This window comes from Homo sapiens, chromosome 12 (genome assembly GCF_000001405.40).
Source record: "Homo sapiens chromosome 12, GRCh38.p14 Primary Assembly".
Lineage (NCBI taxonomy): Eukaryota > Metazoa > Chordata > Mammalia > Primates > Hominidae > Homo > Homo sapiens.
In genome coordinates, this window is record NC_000012.12 from 62,861,024 (window position 1) to 62,877,580 (window position 16,557).

General features: G+C 41.0%; 1 protein-coding gene and 1 long non-coding RNA gene across 5 annotated transcripts in view, besides 1 other annotated feature; one reads left to right on the plus strand and one right to left on the minus strand.

The window, feature by feature from the left end:
• PPM1H (protein phosphatase, Mg2+/Mn2+ dependent 1H) overlaps nt 1–16,557 on the minus strand; it is a 291,157-nt gene that overhangs the window by 217,030 nt on the left and 57,570 nt on the right. The window lies entirely within an intron of this gene.
• LOC105369795 (uncharacterized) overlaps nt 1–16,557 on the plus strand; it is a 60,653-nt gene that overhangs the window by 20,650 nt on the left and 23,446 nt on the right. The gene's annotated exons all lie outside the window — the stretch shown is intronic.
• Nucleotides 4,747–5,576: an enhancer, noted in NCBI's record as "OCT4-NANOG hESC enhancer chr12:63259550-63260379 (GRCh37/hg19 assembly coordinates)". NCBI's record gives its function as "activates a minimal SCP1, AML or CMV promoter by ChIP-STARR-seq in primed H9 embryonic stem cells {active_cell/tissue: H9 hESC(primed)}" and the evidence as "EXISTENCE:reporter gene assay evidence [ECO:0000049][PMID:30033119]".

The window sequence follows — 16,557 nt, forward strand, 5'->3', positions numbered from 1 at the left end:
CTGAGTCTCAGACCTGCCTAATGGCAACAAAATGTAATACGAGTAAGACGATATTGGAAACTAAGACAGGCAGTGAGATTTATTGAGATTAGCATCAGCTTAAAAATTGAACTAGACTAGGTTAAAATCCCACTTGCTTCTTTACTAGCAAAATAAGCTATGGGCCTCATTTCTCTCCTCTGAATCGGAGCTACCATAACCACCTTCCTTCCAGGCATTTTTGAGGATTAGACAGAGATTCTGCAAAATGCCTGGCACAGCAGCAGTCTCTCAGCAAATGCCGGCTAGCATTAGGAAGCACTAAAATTAAACATTCCAACAAATCACAAGTTTCAAGTCCTGGAAACAGTAAGTAGTTAATACTAACAGTTTCATTTAAACTACAGAATCTTCAGACATGGAGCTGACAACAGATGATTAGCTTCAGTTGACATTTATAGCCATCCCCTTTTCTATTTGTTTAAATATTTCTGGCTCTATTGACTTTCTATGACTTTTTGCAGGTTGCTTTCTCCTCGTCAGACACATTGCACACTTTGTATATTCAAATACATGTCTTATTCTCCATTTTACTCCCAGTAATAGATCGTTTAATTCCAGAACAGAAGCCATATGGTTATAGAGAAAGAGGCAGGTGAGGAAACGAACCCTCACCGCTAAGACTTCCTGGAAGGAATCAGTAAGTCTCATTCCCTTAAGCAGGGCATAGACCCAAACATTTCCTGGGCCAGAATGCTGTATCTAGGGCACCGTGGTGCTTGCAGCAAGCTGGAGAGCATGTGTCCCTTCTAAAGGGGCAGCTTGTACACAGCTCCAGCTGCCTGGGAATATGGCTCAGTGTTACCAAGTCTCCAGGCATTTCAAGGAAAGCCAAGAATCTGTATTATGAAAAATTTCTAGATTTTTGAAAATACAATGTGGGCCAAACAAAATAATGCTTATGTGCAAATCTGGCCCAAACCAAATAATGCTTATGTGCAAATAATGCTTATGCGCAAATCTGGTCACCAACATTTCCTGTGTTACCCTAAAGCCTTCTGAGATCTAATACACCAAATTGCAGAGAAACTCTGCCCTAGAGTTTTCTACCTGGAAAATTGTGCAGAGAGCAAAGATCATGACAGACCCAGAGAGCGGGCTGCTGACCTAAAAAGGATGAAATCTTAAACAGAATCCACTGGAAAGTAGGAAGATGGAGAAGTCGGGGGTTAGGATATAAGATGGCTACTGGCCCCAGGAGAGGCAAGAGTTCTAATGGTCAGAAGATGACAGTGAGAGTGATTAGCTGGAAAACAAGGCCTTTGAGAGAGGTTTTTGCATGAAAAAACAGATATAAGGGCTTTTCACTACATATAAGGCTGTGACCTAAATAAACTTGAATGTCTGCGAGAGGCAAACTGACTTGAGTACTTCTGAGCATCTATCGAGTCTTCAAGGCTTTCAGATGCATGAATGATATATGATCCTTAGGCCTCTTTCAAAGACTTTGTTTTGATGACATAACCCATGCCTCTTTGAATGTCATTTCTAGAGGGCTGAAATTGAAAAAACTTGGAATAAAAAGAAATGTAAAAGAATCTTTGTGAATTTGGTGTACAGCTTTAACAGATATGTACAGACATCTATCTTCTCTGATGAAACAAACCTAGAAGTAGCAAAGAGAGGCAGCACTTTAATATCATATTTAGAAATATATGACTCATGGCATAATCAACTTTAAAAAATGTGCTGAGAAAATCCATTAGTCAGAGATTCCAATCATTCTTTTATATATGAAAGGCAGAGATATAGTAAAACACCAATTTATCCTTTATCATCTAATTTAACAGACATCATTTCAATCTTTTAAAAATGCTTTAGTGAAAATTCAATACATTTTTAAATGGAGATTTTTGCTCTCCAAGGTAGAATAATATCAAATAACCCTAAGAATCACTCAAAGTTTTAAATTCACAGAAATTATATTATACAGCATTGCTTCCACTTACAGAGCTGTTTTTGTTTGTTTTTGTTTTTAGACAGAGGCTCACTCCATCACCCAGGCTGGAGTGCAGTGGCGTGATCTCAATTCACTGCAACCTCCACCTCCTGGGCCCAAGTGATCCTTCCACCTCAGCCTCCAGCATAGCTGGGACCGCAGGTGCGTGCCACTACACCTGGCTAATTTTTCTGACTTTTTTTTTTTGTAGAGATGGGGGTCTCACCATGTTGCCAAGACTGGTCTCAAACTCCTGGGCTCAAGCAATCCCCCTGCTCTCACCTCCCAAAGTGTTGGGATTACAGGCATGAGCGACTGTGCCTGGCCCAGAGCTGTTTAAGTAAAAATGATTATAACTTTAACCACACCCCATTATTCACAAATGTGGACTTTATAGGCCACATATTCCTATTCAGAGATACTCATTCAAAATGCAAAAGGGTGTCTAATACTATGGCTAAATTGTTGATCACCTATATTCCATTTCCCACAAGTGAATTTTCAATGGACTCACTTTCACACATAAGGTAATATAACAATTAGTGTTCCCCAAAAGAAAGCAAATGTGTAGAGGCAATACTGTCATTCTCCATAAGCCTAAGTTTGGAAATTTTTAAATTTGCTTGTTAAGTAAGAGTTAATCTGACTCTTACTATAGGCACTATAGGGTTGCTATTGTCTTACACCGTACCATCAAGGTGAATGAAAAGGGAGAACTGAATTTCAGGAAAAAAGTGGGTTTAATTTTAAAGCTGGAAAAGGGTTCAGGGATATTTTCTCATTTGACAGACACAGGAAACACAGTCACTAAATATGACTAAGACCACTGCCCAATTTGTCAGCAGAATTCAGGTATCCTAATTTCATTCCCAATGCTTTTTCCATTATCGAGGCTCTTGATAAAAACTGGCAAAGCAATAAATCTAACCATGAGACATAAGGATCTTTTCTAGCTCCATTCATCCACATCATTGTTATAATCTCATTTTGCACATTTATCTGCTAGCACCAACACTTTAAGTTTAGAGCACTGGTTCTACTGCAGGGGATATTTGACAATGTCTGAAGACAGTTTGGTTGCAGCAGCCAGGTAAGGGTGCTACAGGCATCTAGTGGGCAGAGCCCAGGGATGCTGGCAAACATCCTGTAATGTGCAAGACAGCCCTCGACAACAAAAATTAGCCCACCCAAAATGTCATTAGTGCCAAGGCTACAAAAGGCTGGTCTACAGGTAAAGTAAGAAGGTGGGCGCTTCTACAAAGCAAGTTTGCAGTAATAAAGTTGGGTATGGCATTACTGTTGAAGCATGGTACATAACTTGTAAGGTAAGAACTAATATTGGTTTAAAAAAATCAGAAATAGGCATTATATTTAAAGAAGATAACATGAACCTAGAGTGACTGGCCACTTAGCTGACATTCTCATGCCACCAGAATTTGTGAACTGTGCAATGAGCACTTGCTGGTTTTGTCTGCTATATAGAATTTTAGCTTTGCAGGATTGCAGGATATTTAGCATTGCTGTCAGTTTAGAACAACCAAGTTACTTTTATGTTGCAGGAACAAAATATACGTAGATATATGAAAACTTTTTTAATATTGAAATTCATGCAGGAAAATTAGATTTGGAAATCCAAACCTCTCTTTAACCCTTAACCACTTTATCTTCCCACTGAGAACTTCTTAAATCAAAGCAGTCATTCTTAAAGCTAGAATTATCACATAATAATAGTGGAACAGATTCACACACACAGGTACAATATGAGTAAAATGTTTTTATGAGAAACTTGCTTTCAATATGCAACTCAAGTTCCCTTAAGCTAAGCCTACAAGAAATGGCACAAATTTGAGTAAACTGTTTCCCCTGCATGACCTTTGAAAATACTTTTGAAGTCCAAAAGGCCTCAATAGACTATTTTAGGATTATTACTTTTTAAAGGTGAAGCTTTAAGATGATAATTTGAGCAATCACAATGAGAAATGATAAACTGCCAATAATACTTAAATGTCCACTCCTCATTAGGGCCAAATGAATTCTCTCTCGGCAGAGGGAAAGAGCACTTGGCTGGCTGGCCAAATCCTGTGGATAATTATTTTTCCTTTTGCTCATTCTCTCCAATTAAGAGTGAAGACTATGTCTGTCACTAGGGAGGGATTGCAAAGAAGCCCCTCCTAAGAAGGTGTCCTTTCATTTTATTTAGTAGCCTGACAAGGATCTGGTCCAAGCTTTTCAGAAAGACGTCACCAGATCTCCTCAGCTCCCCAGAATAACTCTCTGTCCAAGCAGCTGGCTTCCAACCATCCCACAAACTGCCATCCAGAGACACATTTATTCATGTGGTTCCTTCCCTCCACCCCATCACCGTCACTGTCTGTAATATCCTCCCCTCCTCTGTCTCTCTAGTCTCCACATGCCCTTCAGGGTTCAGCTCCTAGTTTTGACCTCCCTGCTCTCAAACCTTCCCACTAGGAACTTCACCCTCACTTGAATTCCAACTGTATTCTCTCTGGATCATTTTTTCTGGCCCTTTGTCATTTTTTTAAAATCTCTTCTAGATTATTAAAGGTCTCACTTAACCTCCGTCTCCCGGGCTCAAGCTATTCTCATGTCTCAGCCTCCTGAGTAGCTGGGACTACAGGCATGTGCCACCACGTCCTGCTAATTTTTTTTATTTCTAGTAGAGATGGGGTTTTGCCATGTTGCCCAGGCTGGTCTCGAACCCTGGGATCAAATGATCCACCTGCCTTGGCCTCCCACAGTGCTGGGATTACAGGCCTGAGCCACCATGCCTGGCCTAAAGGGCTCACTTCTAACAGGTTTCTCTTTCTAGGTAAAGAGAATATTAAAAAGTATATTTTTCAGACTCCCTATAAGACCCAGTTAAACACCCAAATTGTTCTTGACCAGTAGTAACCACTTAATGCATAAGTAGCCACAGCGACTATTGGGTCCCAGCTCAGTTTATAAATTCCCTAAACTTCCAGCTCAGCAAAAGAGCTTTTTCTCAGCATGCATTTATACAAGCCAACGTCTGTGGTGAACTCCAAGCATTCTCTTCCAAGCAGTCTAGTTATGTCAGATGTGGGAGGGGTGTCATTGGAGTAAGAAACTGCGAAGAGGGAAAGCCAAGAGACTTGTGTCAAGCTGTTTTTTTACTCTCTTCTTCCTGTGTCCCTTGATCTCAGCAGGGCTCCCCGACCCTGTCCTTTTGATGTCTTGCTATCCCACTGGGAGGTAAAGAGCCTGTCCAGTTCCTCCAGGACTAGGGTTTGGAGCACTGACTTTGGTACTTCCTGACATCTACACTTATCCCCTCTGGTGGTTTTAAAGCCTGTTCACAAATTCCTTGACATCCATCCCTTCAAAAAGTGAAGCCTAATTCCCTCCCTCCTAAGTGTGGGCAAGACTTAATGACTTGCATCTAGTTTATAAAATATGGTGGCAGGAAGAGTGTGTAAACAGGTGGTAAAAGACATCAAGGCTTCCTCTTTGCTCTTTTGGATCATTCACCACGAGGAAGTCAGCTACTATGTCATGAGGGCACACGGCAAAGAACTGAGGTTTCCTACCAAAAACTAGCACTAACTGGCCAACCACAGGAGTGAGCCATTTCAGATAGGATCCTCCAGCACCAGTCAAATCTTCAGATGCCTATGACTCCAGCTAATATCAGGATGGGAACCTCATGAGAGGCTGAGCCAGAAATACCCAGATAAGCCGCTCCCAGATTCCTGACCCACAGAAACAGTGTGACATAATAAATACTTGTTTTAGGCCACTGAGACTGGGATAACCTGTACAGCAATAGATAACTAGTACAGCACTGTTCCCCTTTCTCCATTCTGTCACTTAGAATTGAGTCCATGACGCTCATCCCTAGGGATGAGCTCCTTCAAGGCCAGTCTTAATCAGTATTTCTCTACCCTGCTCCCTTCCACCCCACACCCCATGCTTTCCCCCTCCTGCCTCAAGGTTTCACATACAGCAGGCATTCCACAAATGTTTATTCAAGAAATACCTCCAGTTCCAGCCTTTCCTGTGGCTCATTCACAACCCAGAAAAATGTACCAAAAAGCTGAGTTGATCCTCGAATGCTTACAGAACTTAAGACAGTGCATGGTAATTTGTAACCTGTCTCCTGATTATGAAGAGTTTATTATTAATACAGGATCTGGATTTGGAGCATTAAATTTGGCTGACACTTTCATCTGTCTGTGCTAATCTAATGCTAAGTCATAGCTTCAATGCCTTTATCTCCATGGTCCTCACTTCAGATAATCAGTCATTTACTTTATCAGTCACTTACTGCACATTAGAAGTGCTGAAAATTCTATTTTACACCAGAGCAATGGTCCTTCAAACTTTGTATCTTTAAACTTTCCCCTTTGATTGTTTTGCCCTCTTACCTACTTTCCTTCTGAATTCACCTTCCTGCCTCCTCCCATAGACCCATATTAGTGCTAAATATAACCGCAGGGAAACAAAACACGCTAGGATCTCATCATAGCTGATACAATGACTTTAAAGTAGCTTCCTCTCCTGAAATACATCTTATGAGCACTATTTTTTTTTTTTTTTTTTTTTTTTTTTTTTTGAGACAGAGTCTCACTCTGTCACCCAGGCTGGAGTGCAGTGGCGCGATCTCGGCTCACTGCAAGCTCCGCCTCCCGGATTCACGCCATTCTCCTGCCTCAGCCTCCCAAATAGCTGGGACTACAGGTGCCTGCCACCACACCTGGCTATTTTTTTTTTTTCTGTATTTTTAGTAGAAACGGGGTTTCACCGTGTTAGCCAGGATGGTCTTGACTTATGAGTACATTTATCCAGCAAAGAAAGCAAATGTTCTTTTGGAATTTGCTTATGATGCCCAAAAACCAGTGTTAGGAGCAAAATGCATTGCCTTTTCATGGGCATCACAGCAGCTGGTGTAAATGCCCATATTACGTTCTGGGGTGCTTCCAGAGGGTTGGTTATGTTTTTCATTTTGTCACTATCGTCTCAGTGTCTCACCATGTCTAACAAGATGTAATAGGACTGTGGGACTTCGACAAGGTTGAGAGCAGTGTAGGTTACCAAAAGGCTGCCAAATGCATGATAACTGCCCTCCTCCCCTGGCTTGTCCTAAACCTGCAGTGTGCTACCAAGGATTGAAAGCAGTTTTCTTAATACCAAGAACAGTTCAAGGCCAATCAGACTTCTTAGAAGCCAGGTGTATGACACCATGGTCTGTTCTGCTCAATCTACATCCCCCTTAATAGCATCTGGAAATTAAGGATTTGTTATAGATTCCCTGTAAAGACCATGTAACATCTGAGCCTGAACAACGTGTAGGTCGCAAGCTGGAGCCCGCTTCCTGCTAGGGCCATCCACAAAGCCTTCCCTGCCTCGGCGACTCAGGCAGAATTGTCTCTGCTCTGGCAGTGAAGAACCTGGGTTAAAGAGCAGCAGATCCCACACTTGCCCCTCCCCCAAATAGATAAACCCACAGCTGGATTTTAAAAACAAGGACGGCATCCACTGAACACCATCTTATTGACCGCTACTGAAACATTCACTGTTTCTGTAGCAACTAATTCTCAGCAGGAAATGAGCTCAAATTTTAATTTTTACTTTTAAGAGCTGTTTACACTTACCTCAAGAATATTACAATACCCTGTACAAATATGCACAGGAGAAGATGCATAACTTGAGATACGGAAGTGCCAATGGGGAAAAGAACTGCTTCAGAGATGATAAAAAAACATGGCAGCAGCCACTGGCACACAAATGGGTGCGCACGATGGTGCAAACACTACGCACAGGGCTGTTTGCGCATTGTCATCTAACACCCTCAATCTCCAATGAGTTCCTCAGGATACCCAATTTCTCACTTAAGAAGCTGAGGTTCCCTAAGCCTGTAAAACTTGTCCAGAGTTACACAGCCAAAACTAGAAGAACCTGGATAAAAACCAGGTGTAAATGACTCCCAGACCTGGTCTGAACCACTCACTGTACCCACTGTGTGCTGTACCCACTATGTGCTGCGAAGTACACACAGTCACACAGATAACAACATGACTTGTGCCTCTGGAGGTACACCTTGCTGTATATGATGTCATACACTGATTCATCAATACCCTATATGTGGCTTTAGATATTAAGAACAAGGGTATAAAGGTACATTGCAATGAAAACAACCATCTTCCTGGAGTTTCTCTTATGGATTTGTTTTCACAGTATTTTCATTTTATCATTTATTTATGTATTACAAATAATGTTTTAGTACTCTTATTAAAGTCATTTAAAATCTTTTACTTTCAAATGTTTTTATATTTGACACTTCATTCATTTTAAGATTTATTCTAAATTCTTTACACATATAAATTCACTTAATCCTCAGAATTCAAAGGGGCATGTAATATTAATGGTACCATTTTATAGATGTGCAAACTGAAGCACTTGCCCAAGGTCCTAGAGTAACAGAGGGAGGATTTGGATGCAGGCAATGTGACTTCAGAAACTACAACTTAGCCACTAGACACACTGCCTCTATGCTACATTCTTAGCTGGTTCCCTGCCTCCAAGCCTTGCTGTCCTTCAAAACCACTACCACATAAAAGATCTCTCTGTGGATATTCTAACTTAAAACAGGAGCATGACAACATCCCATCTCCCGCTCAAAGTCCTTGCAAGGACTTCTCAATGCACTTGGGATAAAATTCAAAGTTCCGTAACCTGGCCTGAAACCGTGTATGAGCTAACCCCTGCCTCCATCACAGCCTCAAGAATGCTTCCTCTGAGTCTACTCTCTGGTCTTTTTCTTCAAACACATCATAATATTTTTAACTTCAAGGCCTTCAAACATGCTGTACCATGTGTGTGAGTCACTCTTACCCCCAACTCTTTTCTCAGCTGACTTCTGTTCACTTTTTACAGGTTGCCTTACAGTGCCTCAGAGAGAGGCCTTCCCAATCCTTCATCGAGGAGCAGGACCATGTTTAGATGCTCCCAGTACCCAACACAGGGCCTGGCATATTGCAGATGTTCAACAGATACTTGTTGAACAAACACTTGAAGTGCTACTCTAATCCCAGGAACTATCAAAAGCAGAAGGGAGGGTAGGACATCCACAGTAATTACATAGTGCAGTGAAATAAACTCTATGACAAAAATATGGGGAGGTATTGTGGGAGAAACGGAGAGGAAGCAAAGCTGAGATTGGAGATGCCTTGAGTCAGGGAGGGCATCCAGAGAAGAATCTAATCTTGGACTCGAATTTGACGAAATTGTGCACTAGTGAAAAGGGATGGAGCCAGGGCCTTGCAGCTCATTTTAGGAGGCTGGCCATTAGACTACAGAATTTGGGTAACCATAGAGGGGTTTTTAGCAATCAGATTTTGCTCCAGACAAAGCAGAAGAGAGATGAGAGGCTGACTGTAGGTAGGGAGATCAATGAAGAGGTCATTTCAGTTTTTCAAGAGAAATGAGAGGACAGCCTGAAGCAACATGGTGACAGCGGAAATGGGTGGAAATGGAGAAAAGAATGGATTTGAAAGATACTAAAGAGAAAGAATTTAGGGGACACAATCACAGATTAGACATGCTGAATAGGGGAGAAAAGAAGATTCTCTGGTTTCTGGCTTTGTCGACAGGACAGAATGGTTCTCTTAATGGATTAGGAGGGAATATGGGAGGATGACAGGTTTGTTCTTAGACTGGAACACCCAGGGACTTAATGCTAATATTAGACTCTTATAGAACATACGGACAAAGGATGTGAATAGACGTTTTTGCAAAGAAACATACAAATGGCCAATAAGCACAGGGAAAAATGCTCAACATCTTTAGTCATTAGGGAAATGCATATCAAAACCACAATGAAATACCACTTCACACCCACTGGGCTGGGTATTATAAAAAAAGATACAATAACAAGTGTTGCTGTGGATGTGGAGAAATTAGAACCCTTATCACTGGTGGTGGGAAGGTAAAATGGTGCAGCCACTTTGGAAAACAGTTTGGCAATTCCTGAAAAAGTTAAATATACATCATAAGATCTAGCAATTCCACTCCTAGGTATGTACCCAAGAGAACTGAAAACATGTTCACACAAAAACTTGTACATTAATGTTCATAACAGCCAAAGAGTGACAGCAGCCCAAATATCTATCAACTGGTGAATGGATAAATAAAATGTGATATATCCATACAATGGAATATTATTCAGCCATAAAAAGGAAGTACAGATCCATGCTACAACATGGATGAATCTTGAAAATACTATGCTAAGTGAAAGAAGCTAGACAAAAAAAACGATGTTATATGAGTCTATTTATATGAAATGTTCAGAATAGGCAAATCCATAGAGACAGCAAGTAGATTAGTGGTTAGTGCATAGGGGAGGCAGAGAATGGGGAGTAGTTACTGCTAATAAATACAGTGTTTCTTTTTGGGGTGATAAAAAGTTCTAGAATTAGTGGTAGTGGTTAGACAACCTTGTGAATATATTGAAAACCACCGAACTGTGGTACTTTTTTTTTTTTTTTTTTTTTGAGATAGGGTCTCACTCTGTTGTCCATGCTGGAGGGTACTGGTGCCATCTTGGCTCACTGCAACCTCCACCTCCTGGATTCAAGCCATCCTCCCATCTCAGCCTCCCAAGTAGCTGGGACTACAGGCATGTGTCACCACATCTGGCTAGTTTTTTGTATTTTTGGTAGAGACAGGGTTTTGCCATGTTGCCCAGGCTGGTGTCGAACTCATAAGCTCAAGCAATCCGCCCTCCTTGGCCTCCCAAAGTGCTGAGATTACAGGTGTGAGCCACCATGCCTGGCCAAAATTGTATATCTTAAATGGGTGAACTGTACGGCATATAAATCATATCTCAATTAAAAACAAAAACAAAAAAGAACACATGGATGGCACAGGGCAGGTCTGTGGCATCTGTAACTCTTACAGTGGGTCACAGAATATTAACTTTCAGGATTTACAAAGTCCTGCTCTAAGCTCTCACTAAGCTTTTGAAACCTGGATCTATGAAAATAAATACAGCATTCAGTTTCTAGCCAAATGTTTCTCCATAAACCTAAAGTTTAATGTGTGGCTTTTGTAATCTCATCAGAATTTCTGAGATGAGGTATAAACATGTTAATTAGAAGAAGACAACTTCAATCATTTTCTGTTCTAGCCTGAAATCTCACATATCTAAGGAAAGCATTTTAATTCCTATCAAGAGACAGAAGTACTGCAGGGTTGACAGCATCGTGAGAGTACAACAGTGGTGTTCTGAGGAAAGTAAGAAGTGCCCATGGTTCTAGATGCTACATTACAGCCTGTGATGCTCTAGCAACCAAGATATAACACTAACCAAAAGAACAAGACAGGATGTGTTCTTGATTCTAAGATCTACTTCTAGCATTTCAATTCTCCTAAAATCACAATGAATTTTACAAATGGCATAGATGGAATATGATGGCATTTTTTTCACTAAGATACTAACTTCTGGTATGGCTTAAAATCGATTGATGTCAGTAGGTGGTAGTCTACTCAGATGGTGTTAGCTAGAGGCACATTTTCTAGCTCAATCTCTCTATAATGGATTTTATATTCTAAATGCATGATTTCTGTGTTGAAAGAATAATTATATTTGCATATGTTTTAGCAGTCACCATGCAAACATGGTAAGAGTGGCTCTTTTGCTGGCAAATGTTGATCAAAATATACTACCCTTAGACCAATCAGGATGTGTGGAAATTCTTTTACAAATCAACATATAATATTTACTACATTCATAAGTACTCTAACTGCAAATGAAATTATTCAACTAAAATGTATTTCCAGGAAATTTATATATAAAGTATGTGCAAAGAAGGCACATTAGACAGTTAAATGCATTCTTCCACAATTTTGAATCTAAATACTACTTTCTGCATATAATACCTTACACATTTTCAAAGCATGTTTATACATTTCACTATAAATTTCATTCAATACTTCCCCATAACAACCCTTTAAGACTGGCAAGAAAAATACTACTTTTTTAATTTCTATTTTATAATAAGGAAGCAAAAAAACAGAGGTTAAATGTGTTTCTAAGGCCACAGACCTGGTTAGTGGCAGGGTTAGGACTCTATTTTGATATAACTCATCTGAGTTGGGTGTCTTCCTACTCTGTCACATAGCCTCCACATGGAAATGGTAAAATAATTGGTAAGACTAAGCATTAGTACCTGTCTTACATCCAAATGGGACCTTAGCACAGGCTACTGCCTAGGATAACCCCACAGCTCTGTACATCCTCAACTACACACATGCGCACCTTTTGTGCTGGCACCTGCTCTGTCTCCAAGCTTCTGTGCTAGCCTAGTTCCAGATCCTTCAGTTCCTGTTACCTTCTGCTAGTCATGATCTGGGATATCACAGGGCAAAGCAATGACGTTAAGGACAAGAAGGCACTCTACCTTGCAGTCCCGAGAATGTTCACCTACAAAATGACTCATTTAATCTTTACAACATCTCCCAAGGCAAGTCAAGGTAATTATCCCCCACTGAAGCAAAAGACAACTGAAACACAGGGAGGTGAAAGTTACAAAGTTGCTGAATGGCAGATCAGAGCCCAGATCCATGTCATTACTGCAATCCCAGAGCAGGTTCCATTTTACCACATTTGGTGAGAGGACTCGCACTAACCCATTCACCTATATATTCATTCAGCAAATATTTAATTATATATGATGCATCAGGCTGTGTAAAAGTTTGTGGGGACGGGAATAAATAAAAACGGTCTTTAGCCCTATAAATTTGCCAGTTTGTGAGGACAAAGTTTAAGGAGATAATTACAAATTACGATAATTGCCTAAGGGAAAATAACGACTACTAAAGAATGTAACAAGGAGCCCTAACTTAGATGAGAACGTTAGATAGAACTTCTCTGAGGAGGTTACATTTAAGCTTAGGCATGCAGTCAACCAAGTGAGGAAGGAGAGGAGGGTCCTTGCAGGGGGAAATATATGCAAAGGCCCTGAGGCAAAAAAAATCACTTGGCAGAGGGACAGTGTGCTAGGAGATGCAGCTAATGAGATATTCCACAGGCAGATCATGAGCCCCACCCTAGACTGTAAAGAATGTTTTTATCCCGAAATGCAAGAAGCCACTGAAGACTTTTCACAAGGGAATGTTATAATCTGACTTACATTCTTAAAAGTGCATTTCAGCCACTGTCTAGTCCAGAATATAAATTGCAGGGAGATAAGAGTGACAGGTGAATGACACTTAGACCATGACAGTGTCCCAGGCAAGGCTGGCACAGAAGAGTGGAAATATAAATGGATAAGAGTGACTTTCAAAGGAGAACAAAGCTTGGTTGTTAAATCCAAAGGATCCAGGGACTGCATCATGATCCAAGAGGCCCAGGATACACCTTTAACATCTTACCCTCAAAGAAAATTTAAAAACAGGGCATACATCTAAAGTCAAGAGACAGTAAGTTTCTCCAGCTTGTTGTGGCAGCCAGCTACCATTTTTTTTTTTAATGGTTAGCTGTCTCCATATTACTTTGAGCCAAATAGAGAAGGCACTCCCCAAAGACCACTGCAACAACCTTCCTAAGCTATTACCAAGAATTGGGATCTAAGAAACTAGGACACAGCTGAATCAAGACTGCTGAGAACCATTTCCTAAGGTCAGAGATTTTTCCCTGCTTAGGAAAGTCCAAGACCCAAAGTGATAAACATTCTCATCCATATAGGCATGATTTCAAATGTCTTTTTCTTTCAAAGGAAATTCAGATGGCATTGTCTTAAGAACAGCCCAGACACGTTTATATAGCTTCCGTGCTTTATGTTAATGTAAGAATGAAAAACAAACTGTCTCGCCATTTTCAGTCTCAATACCAAATTGTGTAACACTGAACACTCACCCTTGGGTTTCTATAACATGAGAACCAAGGAGTGGAAGGGACACATAGGAGAGAGTCGCAAAACTCACCACCAAATTGCAACTATTCTGATGCCTGTCTTCTGCCAAAGGGCAAGGGTTCTCTTGGCCAAAGCTGAGTTCCAACAGGCACTGCCTCCAGGGCAGCAGATGGCCATTCAGTACGTAAGCATTAGTAGGACCCTCTTTTATATTTATACATGGATTCAAGCCTGGGAGAAGTCTTATTGTTCCTTGCTTAGAGGAAACCATCTTGGGTCACACAACCAGTGAGTGGTAAAGCTTAGGTTGGAAGTTCTCAGGCAACAGGGACATGGTTCTGGGACATGAAATTCTAAAACAAGAGTGTTCACGAAGCTTAGAAGTTCTTACTAGGCAATTCCCCCCAAAAATCCTAATCAGAAGAAAAGTGAGTGTTGCTATGGAAACCAGTGAGCTTGCTCTGATCTTAAAAGGTCACACTAAACCTTAGGAAGGCAAATTGAAGGAAATACTTCGATTCACCCTTACAGGGTGAATGTAAGAAAGAGGATGGCGAGGAAAGGTACATTCACTCAGAAACCCAAAGACAAGAATGAACTGAGGATTACAGAAATCATTCAGACAACAAAATTAGGCTTTAGGAATGGGCTCGTTAAAATACCATGAATATTTTTCTATATAGCAAATCAAGGATGGAGTATTTCTGGTGCTTGGGGTTAAGGAAACTTCCATTCAGCTTCTTTAAAGAAAATTTTCTTTAGATAGAAAGGAAGAAATGAACATTGGTAAGGCAGAACGAAAGTCCAAGATTAATCAAAAGATTATAAAAGAGCACTGGGCTGGTTCAAAATGGGTTCATGTCACCTGGCATGGTTTTATGCTTCTTTTCAACAACTTGGAAATTTTATTACTGATCCACTGTTGGTGAAATTTAAGGAAGGAATTAGGGAGAACTGGGCATCACTAAGGCCTCTGTGAAGGTTCTCATGATATTCCTGTTGACTAGATGGTATATTGGGATTGAACAACTTGGAGAACTGTTCTAATAATGAGCATGTCCACAGCATGCTAATGAAGATGGGGGCTGGCTCAAGCCTTGCCAAAGACCCCTTCACTCAGCTCTTGCCTGGCAGGCACAAGCTGCAACTTGAATGGTAACACAGAAGGCAAGATTCTCACATCTCTGGTTAGGATGAAGCCCAGGGTGGTAGTGAACTTCCTGTCCAACCAAATCAGGATCTGATAATCTGTACATGCTGAAAAATTAAAATAAGGATCAATAAAAGGCATGGATTTGAGATCTAAAAACAAAGTGTACAAATACACGGAGAGCAGAAATTTAGGAGATGCTAGTTAAACTATCAGAAAGACAAAACAAAACCATCTCTACAGATGTCAGCAGACAAGTATGCTTAGTATGCTGTCACCCAGAGCTCTAGCAAACCTTAGGCTTCATTGATGGAAGCCTGATTTAGGAAGATGAAGGTGGAGATCCATAATTTTGCTCTATTCAAGGCAAATCAGGCCATTTGTTAATGATGCATTCAGTGCTTAATGCTACCCATAAAAGGAGTAGAGAAAAACTAACCTATGAAGGCAAGTAATCAAGATGGTAAAAAGACTTAAAACCATGACACACGAGGATGTTCAACTTAGGAAAAGAAAACACAAGTGGGCAGGAGAGCTGTTTTGAAATTATATGCAGTCAGATGGGAGAGGGTATGTACAGTATAGGTCCCCAGGACGTAGAACTGGCCCCAAGAGCGGAAACCAGCTGAACAAGGTGAAACAGTGTTGCCCAAAAGTCTGAGTTCACCATCATTTGAGGCTTCCAATGGGGGCTGAGTGCCACTTCACAGAAATAATGTGGAAAAGACTGGCTGAATTTAGCCACCTTAGTAGTCCCTTACAAACCCAACATCCCGTTATGTAAGTTCAGTGATCAGTTTTCTCCATTGTACCCAGTTGCCGAAGGTGTTGAATCCAATGATGTAGCTGCCACATACTATTTTTTAAGCACACACCCACATTATGGCTTTCCTTCAGCAAGAATTGGAACAGGCTCCAGTCGGCACTTGCGCCCATCTTACGTACAAGTTTCAGTTCTTTCTGCCCCTACAAACACACTGTTGCCCAATTTATTTCTTGCAGTCTCTAATCTCAGAAAAAAAAGTTATTGTGTTCACTGACCTAGGGTACGCATATTTTGCTCTAATTAGAAATACAGTCTATGCTCAGTCTGAGATAGCCACTCTGGAGGCGTATTCTTGGCCAGATCTTTAAAAATCTTGGCAGTATCCTCCTCCCAGGACTTATACTGTGTGAGCAGCCTGCTATTATGGGCTGTTTTCATGGCTGTTGTGTCCGCAGATGCACCAGGGCCATCTGCAAAGGCTTCCTGATATTGAACACAGACCATGAGATAGTATGAAGGCATGCTCCTGCAGTGAGGCACTAAGCACTTTCTGCAGAGATTGGGGGCCCCTCACCTACAGAGCAGTCAGTGCTCTCGGCTGAGCGCTCAACATCTGCTTCTAGCATCACTGCCCGAGCTCCTTCAAAAGCATTTTGTTCCAAGGTACCACGCGATACGGTAATAGTAATTAACATCAGTTGAGCTTACCAACTCTGCTGAACACTCGATGTACTCTCTCTCTCTATTCTCTGAACTCTCCATGAAATAT